At 44.5% G+C, this 17,365-nt stretch overlaps 1 protein-coding gene across 18 annotated transcripts in view, besides 2 other annotated features; it reads right to left on the bottom strand.

Annotated features, from left to right (window-relative positions):
* Window positions 1–17,365, bottom strand: part of RPGRIP1 (RPGR interacting protein 1) — a 71,219-nt gene that overhangs the window by 29,517 nt on the left and 24,337 nt on the right. For 15 of the 18 annotated variants that reach the window (XM_005267879.2, NM_001377948.1, XM_011536978.1 and 12 more), the window contains exons 1-3: window positions 3,935–4,232; window positions 1,608–1,768; window positions 383–526 (exon numbers count right to left, since the gene is read on the bottom strand). In XM_005267879.2, coding sequence (XP_005267936.1) covers window positions 383–526; window positions 1,608–1,768; window positions 3,935–4,166 — 537 coding nt within the window. In that variant the 5' untranslated portion in view covers window positions 4,167–4,232. The other 3 variants (NM_020366.4, NM_001377951.1, XM_005267881.3) reach the window with 3 other exon arrangements.
* Window positions 12,374–12,901: an enhancer, noted in NCBI's record as "OCT4-NANOG-H3K27ac hESC enhancer chr14:21777043-21777570 (GRCh37/hg19 assembly coordinates)". NCBI's record gives its function as "activates a minimal SCP1, AML or CMV promoter by ChIP-STARR-seq in naive H9 embryonic stem cells {active_cell/tissue: H9 hESC(naive)}" and the evidence as "EXISTENCE:reporter gene assay evidence [ECO:0000049][PMID:30033119]".
* Window positions 12,392–12,551: an enhancer, noted in NCBI's record as "active region_8101". NCBI's record gives its function as "activates an Ori minimal core promoter by ATAC-STARR-seq in GM12878 lymphoblastoid cells {active_cell/tissue: GM12878}" and the evidence as "EXISTENCE:reporter gene assay evidence [ECO:0000049][PMID:35858748]".

The following is a 17,365-nucleotide window of genomic DNA, read 5'->3' as shown; positions in this document are numbered from 1 at the left end:
ACTGGCTAGGTCAAGAAGACTGCTATCCTTAGCTGGGCAGGTTCACCCACTAGAAGAAGGTTTGATTTCCTTGCAGACCCCTCCAAGACTAGTTGTGCTATCATTGAGGTAGGGTGGTTCCTAGGACTGGCAAAATTTGAACCCAGAAGCCTTACGCTTGCCATTGGCATGGGCTGGCCCCATCACTGGCTCCTAGTGCCAAGGTGCCGTGGGCATGTGTGAGTCCTCAAGTTCTTCAAAGGACAGCCATTGTGTGTTTGCTCAGGATAGCACATCACCTGGTATCAGCCCTGGAAACTTAGGTCTTGCTTCATTCCCAGTCCTGTGAGTGGTTCCCACGTTCCTGTTATCCATCCCCTTCCTGTACCATCTTTCCTTGCACCTGATAACACACGTTGATTTTGCGCTGCAGAATAAGCATGTCCCTGGTCTTTTCTAGTTCCAATGTGGTCTCTGCGTGTGATACTTGCAACTCATTTAGCACCTGGGACAGTTTCTTTTCTTCTTGGTTTTTGGGTTCACTTGGCTGTAGAGGGAAACGCATTGGTAAAAGGGAGTATAAATATGACAGGTAAAGTAATAATGATTCTCCATAAAACAGTTGTTGGTAGTAGTAAAATGCCAGCAGCAGAAACTACTCCAAAATGTAAACAAGGACCTGTATGACTTCACAAGTGCTCTTTCCCCTAGTTCTCATGTTCAGTAGCAGCAGTGAAGGGAGATGATACAGCCACTAATGGCTGTTTGCTCTTCCACAGATCTTTTCAAGTCCTCATCTGAAAAAGATTCTAAATTTTATGAGCTGCAAAGAGTGGAAGAAATGGGTGGAGCTCATGAAGTTCTCTACGCTCTGCCTTCTCACAGTTTTCCAAAAAGTGTCCTCAAGCAGGGCACAGTGGCACGTGCCTGTAATCCCAGCACTTTGGGAGGCTGAGTTGGGCGGATCACCAGAGGTCAGGAGTTCGAGACCAGCCTGGCCAAAATGGCGAAACCCTGTCTCTACTAAAAATACAAAAAATTAGCCGGCTGTGGTGGCAAGCACCTGTAATCCCAGCTACTCGGGAGGCTGAGGAAGGAGAATTGCTTAAACCTGGGAGGCAAAGACTGTAGTGAGCCGAGATCGCGCCATTGCACTCCAGCCTGGGAAACAAGAGCAAAACTCCATCTCAAAAAAAAAAAAAAAAAAAAAGAGTGGGCCGGGCGCGGTGGCTTACGCCTGTAATCCCAGCACTTTGGGAGGCCGAGGTGGGCGGATCACGAGGTCAGGAGATCGAGACCATCCTGGCTAACACGGTGAAACCCCGTCTCTACTAAAAATACAAAAAAATTAACCGGGCGAGGTGGCGGGTGCCTGTAGTCCCAGCTACTCGGAAGGCTGAGGCAGGAGAACGGCGTGAACCCCAGGGGGCGGAGCCTGCAGTGAGCCGAGATCGCGCCACTGCACTCCAGCCTGGGCGACAGCGAGACTCTGTCTCAAAAAAAAAAAGAGTGTCCTCAGTCAGGACAAAATATTATTTAGTTAGTTTTCTAATCTCATCATCTTCCCTAGAGATATTTGCCAGAGATCTCTCTGCAGAGTGGACTAGTTTGTTTAAAGAGGCTCTTACCTCGATCTGAGTGTTCTCTTGCAATACAGCTGGGTGAGTGGCTGGTTCAGATTGCCTGTCAGGAGGTTGGGAAATTGTGGCTGCATTTTGGAGGAGCTCTACTTCCTGTTTATGCTTCTGAAGTATGTTGGTGACTTCAAGCTTCAGATCCTCATTTTGGGCTGGGGAAAAATAATCCAGAAATGTGAAATTCTGTAGTTATTTATCACCATGGTCAGAGTTGGATCAAGTGTGAATTTAATCTTCCCACTAAGGTTTAATTAATGTTATAAATTTGAGAAGCAATTCTCTATTATTTCTACAGAGGAGGACTCTAGCTTATTGACTCAGTAAACTGAGGTGATACTACTTGCACTCCGAAAACAAAAGACACCTGCAGAATGGTAGAGTGGAAAGTGGAATAACAATAACAACACAAAACAGAAAGGGAATCACTTGACTAGGGTAATCCAAACTTTTTGACAGCAGCATCGAAACCAGTATCTCACCAACTCCACCCCCACTCCATTCTGACTTCTAGGTTACTAGCTCTCTGTGGCACCCATCTTCACACCCACCCTGGCCTGGATGGAGGATGGGCATTTCTGTGTTCCAATGTGTGTGTGTGTGTTTTTCTCTTTAGACAGTCTTACTCCATCACTCAGGATGGAGTGCAGTGGTGCGATCTTGGCTCCCTGCAACCTATGCCTCCAGGGTTCAACGATTCTTGTGCCTCAGCCTCCTGAGTAGCTGGTATTACAGGCGCACGACACTACGACTGGCTAATTTTCGTGTTTTTAGTAAAGATGGGGTTTCACCATGTTGGCCAGGCTGGTCTGAAACTCCTGGCCTCATGTGATCTGCTGGCCTCGGCCTCCCAATGTGCTGGGATTACAGGCATGAGCCACCACACCAGGCTGTGTGTGTGTTTTTCAGGGAATAAAGGTAATCGGTGTTTAGTGAGCAGATCATTTCCATCATGCATTAGAGAAGGGATTAAATTAGATTGCCCTGAAGGTCCTTACAAGACTTCATTTGTGCTTCAAACATACTAATTGGCATGTGCTCCTAAACATGGTTCTTGCCTCTATTTTTCTTGATTTCACACATTTCTTTTCCTTCCGTTCCCTATTTGAATACACTAAAACTTGATGAGATATAAATTTGATAAAACTAAATATTAAGGTCCAGGCTAGGAAAAAGTAGTAAGATGAAGGTCTTTTTGACAGTATTTAAAAATGTTCCAAATACCTATCTCCTGAGATCCAAGAGTTAAGACGGGGGTGAACTGGCAGTGGTAACCAAGAATAGTAATTTGCTACTCAATTTCAAGAATTGGATGGCAAAAAAAAAAAAAAGTATTCCAGTTACCTCTAAAATGATGAGAAGGATAAAAGACAAAGAAATTCACTTTCAATACTTTCAGCCAGGTGTAGTGGCTTTCACCTGTAATCCCAGCACTTTGGGAGGCTGAGGCGGGTGGATCACTTGAGGTTAGTTTCAGACCAGCCTGGCCAACATAGTGAACCCTCGTCTCTACTAAAATATACAAAAAATTAGTTGGGTGTGGTGGTGGGCACCTGCAATCCCAGCAACTCGGGAGGCTGAGGCAGGAGAATCTCTTGAACCTGGGAGGCAGAGGTTGAAGTGAGCCCAGATCGCATCACTGTACTCCAGCCTGGGTGACAGAGTGAGACTCTCTCAGAAACAAAACCAAACCAAACCAAACAAAAGAAAACTTTCAATAAACTGAACGTTTAAAAAACATAATAAATTAAAAACTGGCAGGTCGGGCACAGTGGCGCACGCCTGTAATCCCAGCACTTTGGGAAGCTGAGGCTGGTGGATCATCTGAGGTCAGGAGTTCACGACCAGCCTAACTAACATGGTAAAACCCCATCTCTACTAAATACAAAAAAAAAAAAATAGCCAGGCGTGGTAGTGCATGCTTGTAATCCGAGCTACTTGGGAGGCTGAGATAGGAGAATCGCTTGTACCTGGGAGGTGAAGGTTGCAGTGAGCTGAAATCGTGCCATTGCACTCGAGCCTGAGCAACAAGAGCGAAACTCCACCTCAAAAACAAACAAACAAACAAACAAACAAAAACTAGCATCTTCTCAAATGGAAAGACATTATATAGGAAAAAGTATACATGAGAGGTAGGTAAGTGTCATGTTTTCCTGATTGTAGATCTGATCTATTGCTAGTGTTCTCATTCTAGTTACCTACAACCCACAAAAGAATAGGATCAAGTGAGGGGATTAAAGAAATGATGGCTCAAGTTATCTTCTCCCAAACCAGAGGTAGAGGATGCCACATTTGAGAGAGCTCTTCAAGGTCCAGCCTACCTTTCTCCCTGGACAGCTCAAGTAAAACTTTTCTCTTGTCCTCCAGCTCAGCATCCAGCTGATCCTGCAGCTGAGAGACTTGCTGCTGTAGCTGTTCCGCTATGAGCTCGTTGCTCCAGTGGGGCTGACTGGAGCTGTCACTGCTGTCCAGCATGCTGGCAATGGAAAGCAAGCTCTCAGATGGATACCCCAAGGGGTGTGATATGACGTCTTTATTATCCAGTTTCAGCATCTCCTGGACCTAGTTCCTCATTCTCTCCCCTACATGTTTTTTTCTGCCCTTGCTTTATTCATAACTGTCATTTACCAACTGCCTTGGAACTTTTGAGTCCTACTGAGTTATTGCTCAGTACCATTTCTGTTTAGGTCTCAGATATCTGACTGAGCAAACACCCCAAGTCATATCCATTTCCCAAGGAACTTCTCCACCATGATGGCTTTCTTTAGTCAGGGAACTATGTATCAAGACCTTCTCAGGCCTGCCGGATTAGAAATGAGGAACAAAATCTTCCTTTTCTCAAACCCCATGCCTCCATCTACCTTCACCAACGGTGAGTTTAGAGAATATTTGTCTTTGACCTAGATTATAAATTACTATGCTGAAGGGCGGGAATTAAACTTTTCAACAACTGTATCCTCCACCCTATTGTATCAAGCTGTCAGAGCAGACCCATTTTGAGTATAAAATACACATGGCTGGTTCCTTTTTTTTTCTTTTTTCTTTTTTTTTTGAGACAGAATCTCGAGCTGTCACCCAGGTTGGAGTGCAGGGGTGCAATCTTGGCTCACTGCAACCTCTGCCTCCCAGGTTCAAGCGATTCTCCTGCCTCAGCCTCCTGAGTAGCTGGGATTAAAGTAACCCACCACCAGGCCCAGCTAATTTTTGTATTTTTAATAGAGACGGGGTTTTACAATGTTGGCTGTGCTGGTCTTGAACTCCTGACCTCAGGTGATCCACCTGCCTCGGCCTCCCAAAGTGTTGGGATTATAGGTGTGAGCCACCATGCCCAGCCACATGGCTAGTTCTTGGTCATTCATACAAATGAAATGACACTAATAATCAAACAATTATTTCTTTTTATGTCTTATTTCTTATTTATCATTTTAGTAAATGTGGTTTAAAAATAATTTACCAGGCTGGGCACAGTGGCTCACGCCTGCAATCGCAACACTTTGGGAGGCCGAGGAGGGCAGATCATGAGGTCAGGACTTCGAGACCAGCCTGGCCAACATAGTGAAACCCTGTCTCTACTGAAAATACAAAAAGTTAGCTGGGTGTGGTGGCAGGTGCCTGTAATCCTAGCTACTTGGGAGGCTGAGGCTGGAGAATTGCTTGAACCCAGCAGGCGGACACTGCAGCGAGCTGAGATCGTGCCACTGCACACCAGCCCAGGTAACAGTGTGAGATTCCGTCTCAAGAAATAAATAAATAACTTACCGGCCAGGCTGGATGGTTCCCACCTGTAATCCCAGCACTTTGGGAGGTCAAGGTGGGCAGATTATCTGAGGTCAGGGGTTCGAGGCCAGCCTGGCCAACATGGTGAAACCCCATCTCCATTAAAAATACAAAAATTGGCTGGGCGCGGTGGCTCACACCTGTAATTCCAGTGCTTTGGGAGGCTGAGGCAGGCAGATCTCGAGGTCAGGAGTTGGTGATCAGCCTGCCCAACATGGTGAAACCCCGTCTCTACTAAAAATACAAAAAATTAACCAGGTGTGGTGGCCGGCACCTATAATCCCAGCTACTCAGGAGGCTGAGGCAGAAGAATAGCTTAAACATCGGGAGGCAGGGGTTGCAGTGAGCCGAGACTGCGCCACTGCACTCTCAGCCTGGGCAACAGAGTGAGACTTTGTCTCAAAAAAAAAAAAAAAAAAACCACAAAAATTAGCCAGGCATGGTGGCACACACCTGTGGTCACGGCTACTTGGGAGGCTGAGGAAGGAGAATCACTTGAACCTAGGAGGCAGAGGTTGCAGTGAGCCAAGATCACACCAGTGCACTCTACCCTGGGCAACAGAGTGAGACTCTGCCTCAAAAAAAAAATAATAATAATAATAATAATAACCTACTTAGGCAAGTATTAACATTTCTTGGCATTGCCTGACCATATATCATGTAAGGACTCAAGAAAATAGTATTTTGAGTGATGAAGGGGAGAGGCAAATAGTAATGTCTATCACAGAGTAATGTCTATCGAAGTGGATACTCCCCACACTGCTTTATTTCACTGAGCTGAAGAACATCAGTTGTTCCCAGATGCTCCCGTAAGACCTCCTCAATCTACCCCCTGCTGCCTTTTACTAGATCAAAGGTACTTTTAAGTTTTTTGTTTTTTTTTTTTTTGAGACGGAGTCTGGCTCTGTCGCCCAGGCTGGAGTGCAGTGGCGCGATCTCGGCTCACTGCAAGCTCCGCCTCCCGGATTCACGACATTGTCCTGCCTCAGCCTCCCGAGTAGCTGGGACTACAGGCACCTGCCACCACGCCTGGCTAATTTTTTGTATTTTTAGTAGAGACGGGGTTTCACCGTGTTAGCCAGGATGGTCTCGATCTCCTGACCTCGTGATCCACCCACCTCGGCCTCCCAAAGTGCTGGGATTACAGGCATGAGCCACCGCGCACAGCCTGGCACTTTTAAGTTTTAAAAACTTTTTTCTTTTACTTACAGGTTTTTTTTTTGTTTGAGAGTCTCACTTTCTCACTGCACTGCACTGCACATGGCTCAATGCAACCTTGACCTCCTAGGCTCAAACAATCCTCCTGCCTCAGCCTTCTGAGTATCTGGGAATACAGATGCACGCCACCATGCCCAGCCAAATTTTTTTTTTGAGACAGAGTCTTGCTCTGTTGCTCAGGCTGGAGTGCAGTGGTGCAATCTCAGCTCACTGCAACCTCCACCTCCCGGGTCCAAGCAATTCGCCCTGCCTCAGCCTCCCAAGTATCTGGGATTACAGGCCCCTGCCACCACGCCCAGCTAATTTTTTGTATTTTTAGTAGAGACAGTGTTTTGCAATGTTGCTCAGGCTGGTCTCACACTCCTGTGCTCAGGCAATCTGCCTGCCTTGGCCTCTCAAAGTGCTAGAAGTACAGGCATGAGCCACTGCGCCCAGCTGCCCGGCTATTTTTTTTTTTTTTTTCGAGACAGAGTTTTGCTCTTGTTGCCCAGGCTGGAGTGTAATGGCCTGATCTCAGCTCACCCCAACCTCTGCCTCCTGGGTTCAAGTGATTCTCCGCGCCTGGCTGGCTAATTTTTAAAATAATTTGTGGAGAAGGGGTTTCATCATGTTGCCCAGGCTGGTCGTGAACTCCTGAGCTCCAGCGATCCTCCTGCCTCAGCCTCCCAAAGTGCTGGGATTACAGGAATGAGCCACCATGCCAGGCCACTTCCAGTTCTTTTTAATTATAAAATTAATGCATGAATACATGCTCATTGTGAAAAATTAGAATAATACATCAGCATATAGAATAGCCCAGGGTCGGTGGCTCATGCCTGTAATCCCAACACTTTGGGAGACCAAGGCAGGCAGATCACTTGAGCCCAGGAGTTTGAGACCAGCCTGGGCAATCTGGCGAAACCCTGTCTCTGCACAATATAGAAACTATTAGCCGGGTGTGGTGGCGTGTGGCTGTGGTCCCAGCTACTCGGGAGGCTGAGGTGGAAAAATCACTTGAGCCTGGGAGTTCAAGACCAGCCTGGGCAACATGGCAAAACACCATCTCTACAAAAAATACAAAAATTAGCCAGGCATGGTGGTGTGCACCTGTGGTCCCAGCTCCTTGGGAGGCTGAGGTGGGAAGATTGCTTGAGCCTGAGAGGTGGAGGTTGCAGTGAGCTGAGATGACACCACTGTACTACAGCCTGGGTAACAGAGTGAAACCCCATCTCAAGAGAAAAAAAAAAAAAAAAGAATAAAAGTGAAGGTGCCCCTTTGCCTTATTCTAATCCTCTTATCTCATCAAAGGTTTGTGGAACCATAAAGATACATAACATAAACCATGTCAGAGTTAACATATTCATTTTCAGCTTGCTTTTTCTTTTTACAATGTATCTTTTTTTTTTTTTTCAGAGGAAGTCTTGCTGTGCCACCCAGGCTGAAGTCCAGTGGCGCAATCTCAGCTCACTGCAACCTCCGCCTCCCGGGTTCAAGCGATTCTCCTGCCTCAGCTGTCTGAGTAGCTGGGATTACAAGTGCGCGCTACTGTGCCTGGCTAATTTTTGTATTTTTAGTAGACACAGGGCTTCATCATGTTGGTCAGGCTGGTCTCTAACTCCTGACCTCGTGATCTGGCCGCCTCGGCATCCCAAAGTGCTGGGATGACAGGCATGAGCCGCCGCGCCTGGCCATCTATCTCATTTTTAACAGCTGCATAGCACTTCATTGTGAGGATGCAACATGCTTTATGTGATCAATCTCTTATCAGTGGTTTCCTTTTTATTTGTTTATTTGTTTTTGTTTTTTTGCTATTACTATCAGGGCAGTAATTCACATTCTTTTTTTTTTTTTTCTTTTTGTGGAGAACAGGGTCTCACTATATTGCCCAGACAGGTCTCGAACTTCTAGGCGCAAGTTATCCTCCCACCTCTGCCTCCCTAAGTGTTAGGATTACAGGTGTGAGCTGCTGCACCCAGCAACATTCTTATTATATACATATATTTGCACATACACAAGAGAATTTTTTCATTTTGATTCCCCCCAGCCCCCCAAAAAATTTGGGGGCCAGACATGGTGGCTCGTGCCTGTAATCCCAGCATTTTAGGAGGCTGATGCAGGCAGATGACTTGAGCCCAGGAGTTTGAGACCAGCCTGGGCAACCTGACAAAACCCTGTCTCTACAAAAAAATAGAAAAAAATTAGCCAGGTGTGGCAGTGCACACCTGTAGTCCCAGCTACTGGGGAGGCTGAGGTGGGAGGATTGCTTGAGCCTGGGAGACTGGGGCTGCAGTAAGCCTAGAATGCCACTGTTTTCCAGCCTGGGTGACAGAGAGAAACTACATCTCAAAAAAAGAAAAAAGGAATTGCTGGTTAAAAAAATAAAAAGGAAGAAGAGTCAGGAGAATCGTTTGAACCCGGGAGGTAGAGGTTGCAGTGAGCCAAGATCGCACCACTGCACTCCAGCCTGGGCAGCAGAGCGAGACTCCATCTCAAAAAAAAAAAAAAGAGGATATGCACATTTAACATTTTAATAGTGTCAAATTCCCTTCCAAAAGACTGCCGATTAATATTCTCACTAACAATATTGAGTACCAATTTCCCCATATATTTATTAATGCTAGGTATTAGGAATGAACTTTCTATAATGTCTTTCATAGTAACACTGCTCTGGGACCCAAATGTGGTACTCACCTTTCTAAGAGTTTGTCATAATTGTCATTCAGCAATTTTCGTTCTTTTTCCAAATCTTCAACTCTCTCCTGAAACTAAGAGTGATAGTAGCCCTTGAGATAAAATGTTAAAATCTATTCCCCTGCACAGGATTTCCCCTGTCCATGGCAGGGAGGGGCGTGGGTGAGAGGCTTTCTATCACCATCTCCAGTGTCTGAGAAGCCATCCAACTAGAAAGACTTGAACCAATTGAAGGTCGGCTAGAAACTTGTATTGGGATTAATGAGGATTTTCCAAAATAAGTCTTCACTGTTTCTGGGTTTCTACTGCTAGGGAAGCAGCAAAACATTATGAAAGAGCAAGGACTTTGAAAAACAGACATAAGTACAAATCCAAGCTTTCCCTCTAATGGTGTAATCTTAAGCAAATGATTTAACTACTCGGAGCTTCGTTTTTGTCATTTGAAAAAATGCAATACTCATATTGTTGCTAAGATACACATTCTAACATCCCTGAAGTTGAAATGTAGATGGTATCTTTCAACTATTATTATTTACCTCCTTCAGAGTCATCTGCAAGATAGACACATCTTCCAGTTGGCTCTTCAAGCTCACAGCCTTCTTGCTTTCTTCCTTCAGCTCTGCCCTGAGCTCATTCACTTGCTTGAGGAGGGCCTCATGGGCTGCACTCAGGATTCCCTGATTCTGGGTCAAAAGGAAAGTACCTCTGGGAATGGTCATATCACTCAGCACGAGTGGTCTCCAGACACCAGCAACCCTAGCATTCTCTAACAGATGTCACAAAGAATGACTTTGATTAATAGCTTATTACCTTTGTACTGTTCGTTAACCTTGTTTTTCACCCTAGCATTTCTCTGGAAGTATAATTTCCCTGGTAGGTAGGGTTTCCATTCTGGGCAATTGTAGTTCATCATTTGAGCTTTAATTTTCTTTTCTTGTATTTATTTATTTATTTATTTATTGAGACAGTCTCGCTCTGTTGCCCAGGCTGGAGTGCAATAGTGCTTGGCTCACTGCAACCTCTGCCTACCGGGTTCAAGCAATTCTCCTGCCTCAGCCTCCTGAGTAGCTGGGATTACAGGCATGAGCCACCACGCCCAGCTAATTTTTGTATTTTTAATAGAGACAGGGTTTCTCCATGTTGGCCAGGCTGGTCTCGAACTCCTGACCTTAGGTCATCCACCCGCCTCCGCCTCCCCAAGTGCTGGGATTACAGGCGTGAGCCACCGCGCCTGGCCCTTGAGCCTTAATTTTCTCAAGGTTCAAATTAATCCCTAGCTTTAAATTAGTTGCCACCTTCCAAAGCTGCCTTCACTTTCTAAGCTATTTGACTGCTTTTTTATGATGACTACGTTTGTACCTAGACAAGTGACATGTTAACTCCAGAAGTTCTGTGTGTGTTTCTGGCGGACTCCTCTGGTGAGGCACAGCTGGGTGGTCTCGTTTGGAACTCTGTCTTAGTGGTGATTCTTAAGCACAGACATTCACCTAGCTTCACATGCAGCCCACTCACAGTGGTGAATAGGGCCAAATATTTAAGACCATCTGAGAATACCTGCAACAACTTTGTTATATCTCATCACCTCACACATGCTAGAAGAATACTCTTAGGAAGTTTTGAGCAAATGCTATAATTTGCTCCAGCAATAGGCTTAAAAATACCATGCCAAATATTTCTCAACTACAATTTCATATTTCAATTTTTATGAAAACAGTGCAATAAGTATCTGTATCTTTTGATAATCATAATAGTATCATTTTTAACAGAAACTATATGACATAATAACATTGATTTAGTTAGCTAAATTCTGGTGTTATGTTACTTGGAGATGAACATAGATTTCTTTGGGTTTGATTATTCTGGTTACTAAGAAACAGAGACTCAATTCTCATTAAGTACCTTCTGGAGCAAGGTTTCGTATGCCTGGAAGAAAGAAATTATTATTATTTTATTGATTTATCAATTTCATGATATATTTATCACTGTAATATAATGCTTAACATTTTTAAAGACATTATAAAAATCCCACAAAACAAATCAATTTGTGTACTTGTTTACTAATTGTTGCTATTTTTCCCCTGCCCTAGCTTGCCAAGTAGTCTGTGACTGCAATCATTCACACCATTTCTCAAAAAAGAATGAAGGGTCATTTATTAACATTTGCATTGTACTTGGTGGATTATCCAAGAAAAATGTTTAATCTTAAATTAGGTACTGTTACTTAGCACACTTCAGAAAGATCTCTTCAGTTTTAGTAAAAAAAAAAGAATGATCATAACAACAGCTATAATTAGTTGAGTAGTTGCTATGTGTTACTATGTGTTTCATTACCTGCCACATCATGATCATTATAATCATTTCACACATATTATCTCATTTAATCCTTGTAGCAAATATGAGAGGTAAGTTTTCGTTTTTGTTTTTGAGACAGTCTCACTCTGTTGCCCAGGCTGGAGTGCTGCGGCACAATCTTGGCTCACTGCAACCTCGGCTTCCCAGGTTCAAGCAATTCTCCTTCCTCAACCTCCCAAGTAGCTGAGATTACAGGTGCCCCCCACCACACCTAATTTTTGTATTTTAGTAGAGACGGGGTTTCACCATGTTGGCCAGGCTGGTCTCAAACTCCTGACCTCAAGCGATCCACCCACCTCAGCCTCCCAAACTTTTTTTTTAAATTTATTTTTTATTTTTTAAAAAAGGTCAAATAATCTTGAGAGAGAAAAAAATTGATCATATCAACTTGCTTAAAACCCTTTCACATAGCTCTCTGCTGTTTGTAGGATAAAGTCTAAATTCCTAGCATGTTCTGTCTTTAATGACAACGAGAAAAAAAATTCTTAGTGTGTCCTTCATGACCAGACCTGATGTTTCTCACCTCTGCTCTCATGGAAAGCCCCCTCTTCTCTTACACACTTATTAACACAAGCTAATCTTTTAGTATTTCAGTATTTAACTCACAAATCTATTCCTTTATTAATCCTTTTCTTTTTTCTTTTTTTGAGACAAAGTCTCACGCTGAGGTGCCGTATCGGGATCTCGGCTCACTGCAACCTCTGCCTCCTGGGCTCAAGCACTCAAGCAATCCTCCTGCCTCAGCCTCCATAGTAGCTAGGACTACAGGCACACATCACGATGCCTGTCTAATTTTTCTATTTTTGATAGAGATGGGGTTTCGCCATGTTGTCTGGGCTGGTCTCGAATTCCTGAGCTCAAGTGATCCTCCCTCCTTGACCTCCCAAAGTGCTGGGATTACAGGCTCCAGCCACCGCACCCAGTCATTAATCCTTTTCTGATCTGGCACTGTTAAAGGAGTTATTAAAAATAATTTTAGGCAGATAGAGAGGAAAAGGGGTCCTTGGAAAGTTTTCTCGTCCTTTAAAGCAGCTCCAGAAACGTTTTTTGTCTAGCAGGAAAGCCCTGGCTCTTACAGCCGGGAAGGCAACCTTTGATATGCAAATACAGGTCTTTAGAAACTGGGTCCACCCAAACATGGCGATTCCCGCCCTTGTCTTCCTGTCCTTTCCCCGACCTGTACCTGGCAACATGGCCACCCCCACATATCCCCACGTGTGTAGAACATCATGGCGCCCTTCATTTGCATATTAAAAGACTAGGGTAGGAGGGCCAGTTTTTTCCACAGGCTACATGAGTGACATGCCTGGTCAAACCAATCCCCTGAGCCCTATGCAAATCAGACACTACCTCCTCCTGCCTACTCATATAAGCAGCCACTTTTCCCGGCACATGAGGTCTCCCCTCTCTGCTTTGGAGTCCTTCTCCCTCTGTCTCAGTACAGGGGAGCTTCTTCCGTCTTTCTTCTCCCTTGTTTCTTGCCTATTAAACTCTCCGCTCCTTAAAGCCGCTCCACCTGTGTCCGTGTCGTTTTATCTAATTCGCGTGAGACAAGAGCCCTGGTGTTCCTCCACTTATCAGCCATATCAGCACCTCACCCACTGGTGGGTCTGACTACTCTCTCTTTTGTGTCCTGCCCATACCCTGCATAGGATAGTTGAATTTGTTTACTTGTTTTCTCACTCCTATAAACTCCTTGAAGGCAGTTTTTTCTTACTTACCCTTGGAATCTTTGTATCCCAGTGCTTTGCAATTCCTGGTACTGGATAAATATTTGTTCAATAAAAGGATGGTGCTGACCTTACTTTGACCCTTGATACTCTATTTCCACCAATCAGATGTTAGTTTCTAATGTGTGCTAATGCTAAATATACTTACCTTGAGGGCTGTTGTCAGGCTTAAAAAAGATCATGACTGTAAATATCTGGGACAGAGTACAGCTCACAGAAAGTGCTAATTAAAAGGCTAGTTTCCTTCCCTTCCCTGTGACTGCTTTTGGCTTCCTAATTTAATCACATTCTGGTTGTGGTCTTCGTAGGGGACCGTAACCCTTACACAAGTTAACTCCACTTTATTTCACCTTAGCAGGCAGAGCTTGAGCCTTCCTCTTAATAGAGAACTAATGGGAAATACTGGGAAAAGCATAGACTCCGAGTTGTGAGGCTTGGATTTGAATATCACTTATAAATTGTGTGATATCACTTATAAATTGTCTTTCTGAATTGTGGCTTCTCATATTTAAAATGGAGAAAATAATATGAATCTCTTAATTGGGGTTTCCCCCCACCAAGAAAGCACAGCTGATGATGGCAACTCACCTCTTGAACTTCTGTTAATTGTGCTTTTGTCATAACCAATGAAGCATTTCTTTCATGTAAGAGCTTCTTAAGTCGAATCAGCTCTACCTTCTCTTTAATGGAAGCTCTGCAGAGAAAGGCGCTAAATTATTCTGTCTGAACATGGATAGAATTAAAGACATTTTCTCCTTGACTATGCCCTAGTAAGAATACCTCCCTCTTGTCTCTTGCCTTCCCGTCTTACCCACACTAGAACACAAGTATGTGGTGTATGTACAGTCTAGTAAATAATCTCCTTTCTCCCATTTCTCATCACGCCAGCCAAGATTTGATAGAGATCACTAACCTTAAGCTTATGTTATGAGAAAAGATAATAACTACTTTTTTAAATGATGGTGTTCATAATTTCCCACAAACCTTGCAATGTCAAGCTAGGTCTCAGCCGTTTCCTTAGAGAAACCAGTGAGGTTTGAACGTGCTAGAAAACTTAAAAAGAAGATTATGAACCAGGCACCGTGGCTCACGCCTATAATCCCAGCACTTTGGGAGGCTGAGGCGGGCAGATGGCCTGAGGTCAGGAGTTGGAGACCAGCCTGGGCAACATGGCAAAACCTTGTCTTTACTAAAAACACAAAAGTCAGATGGGTGTGGTGGCATAAGCCTGTCATCCCAGCTATGGACACTGGGCAAGAGAATCGCTTGAACTGCGGGAGGCGGAGGTTGCAGTGAGCTGAAATCAGCTTAGGCAACAGAGTGAGATTCTGTCTCAAAAAATAACAATAGTGGCCGAGTGCGGTGGCTCAGGCCTGTAATCCCAACACTTTGGGAAGTTGAGGCGGGCAGATCACGAGGTCAAGAGATTGAGACCATCCTGGCCAACATAGTGAGACCCCATCTCTACTAAAAATACAAAAATTAGCTGGGTGTGGTGGTGCGCACCTGTAGTCCCAGCTACTCAGGAGGCTGAAGCAGGAGAATTGCTTGAACCTGGGAGGGGGAGGTTGCAGTGAGCCGAGATTGCACCACTGCACTCCAGCCTGGCGACAACAGAGTGAGACTGTCTCAAAAAATAATGATAATAATAATAATAATAGTAAAATACACCCGGCACGGTGGCTCACGCTTATAATCCCAGCACTTTGGAAGGCTGAGGCGGGTGGATCACGAGGTCAAGAGATTAAGACCATCCTGGCCAACGTGGTGAAACCCCGTCTCTACTAAAAATACAAAAATTAGCTGGGCATGGTGGCGCACACCTGTAGTCCCAGCTACTCGGGAGGCTGAGGCAGGAGAATCACTTGAACCTGGGAGGTGGAGATTACAGTGAGCTGAGATCTCGCCACTGCACTCCAGCTTGGGTGACAGAGTGAGTCTCTGTCTCGGAAAATAAAAATAAAATAAAATAAAATAATAGAAAGAAGATTAGGCTGGGCGCAGGGGCTCACGCCTGTAATCCCAGCACTTTGGGAGGTCGAGGAAGGCGAATCACCTGAGGTCAGGAGTTCGAGACCAGCCTGGCCAACATGGTGAAACCCCCTCTCTACTAAAAATATAAAAATTAGCCAGGTGTGGTGGTGGGTGCCTGTAATCCCAGCTACTCAGGAGGCTGAGGCAGGAGAATTTGCTTGAACCCGGAAGATGGAGATTGCAGTGAGCTGACAAGGTGCCACTACACTTCAGCCTGGGCAACAAAGTGAGACTCTGTCTCAAAAAAAAAAAAAAAAAAAAAAAAAAAAAAAAAAAAAGACTATTATTCCTGAACCTAGGAGCTCACGTTTTCTTTATTGTTTGAAAGATTGAAAGAGATACTGGGGAGGATTTGGGTTCACTCCACTCTATCTCATTGATTCCCTGTCTAGCTGCTGATTAGAATAACCTGGAGAGATCTTAAAATTACACTGCCTGAATTCTACCCCCCAAATAATTGAAAGGGAATCTCAGAGATGGGGCCCAGGGATCTGTTATGGTCTTTTTTTGTTTTGTTTTGTTTTGTTTTTGAGACAGAGTCTTGCTCTGTTGCCCAGGCTGGAGTGCAGTAGCATAATCTTGGCCCAGTGCAACCCCTGCCTCTCGGGTTCAAGCTATTCGCCTGCCTCAGCCTCCCAAGTAGCTGGAATTACAGGCATGAGCCATCACACCCGGCTAATTTTGGTATTTTCAGTAAAGATGGGGATTCACCATGTTGGCCAGGCTGTTTTCGATCTCCTGACCACAAATGATCCACCCACCTTGGCCTCCCAAAGTACTGGGATTACAGGCATAAGCCACCGCACCCGGCCTGGATCTGTGGTTTTAAAATATCTCCAGGTTGAAAACTTATATCCATACAAAAAACGACACATAATGTTAATAGCAGCTTTATTCATAATTGCCAAAACTTGGAAGCAACTAAGACATCTTTCGGTAGCTGAATGGATAAATAAACTGGTACATGTAGACAATCGAATGTTATTTGGTGTTTTGAAAAAATGAGCTTTCAAACCTTAAAAGACATGGAGCAAGCTTAAATGCATATTACTAAGTGAAAGAAGCCAATTTGAAAAGGCCACATACTGTGTAATCCCAACTATATGACATTCTAGAAGAGGCAAAACTGGAGACAGTAAAAAGATCAGTGGTTGCCAGGACTGGAGGTAAAAGACATGACTAGGTGGAACACAGAGGACTTTTGGGGGAGTAAAGCTATTCTGTATGATGCTATAATGATGGATACATGTCCTTACACATTTGTCAAAACCCATAGAATGTACAACACCGGCCAGGCGCAGTGGCTTACGCCTGTAATCCCAGCACTTTGGGAAGCTGAGACAGGCGGATTACGAGGTCAGGAGATCGAGACCATCCTGGCTAACATGGTGAAACCCCGTCTCTACTAAAAATACAAAAAAATTAGCCGGGCATGGTGGCGGGCGCCTGTAGTCCCAGCTACTCAGGAGGCTGAGGCAGGAGAACGGCATGAACCCAGGAGGCAGAGCTTGCAGTGAGCCGAGATCACGCCACTGCCCTCCAGCCTGGGCAACTGAGCGAGACTCCATCTCAAAAAAAAAAAAAGAATGTACAACACCAAGAATGAACCCTAATGTAAACTATTAAATGATGGTCAGGTGATAATGATGTGTCAATGTAGTTTCACTGATTGTAACAAATGCACCACTCTGGTACGGGGTGCTGATAGTTGGGGAGGCTGTGTGTGTATGGAGGCAATGGGTATACAGGAACTCTATTTCCTGCTTAATTTTGCTATAAAACTAAAACTTGTCTGAAAAATACATTTTTAAAAAAGTTTTCCAGGAATTTATGCACAGAGAGGGCTAAGAATCCCTATCTGGTGATGAGGATGAAGTCGTTTTCCTTCTATATAGTGAGGCAGCAAATATCCTTTTATACATAAACTTATCTCCTTTAGGTTAATTTCTTTCTTTCTTTCTTTCTTTCTTT

This window comes from Homo sapiens, chromosome 14 (genome assembly GCF_000001405.40).
Source record: "Homo sapiens chromosome 14, GRCh38.p14 Primary Assembly".
In the NCBI taxonomy this organism is placed as follows: domain Eukaryota; kingdom Metazoa; phylum Chordata; class Mammalia; order Primates; family Hominidae; genus Homo; species Homo sapiens.
The sequence above is the reverse complement of the archived record's forward strand: the minus strand, read 5'-3'. Positions and strand labels throughout refer to the sequence as shown.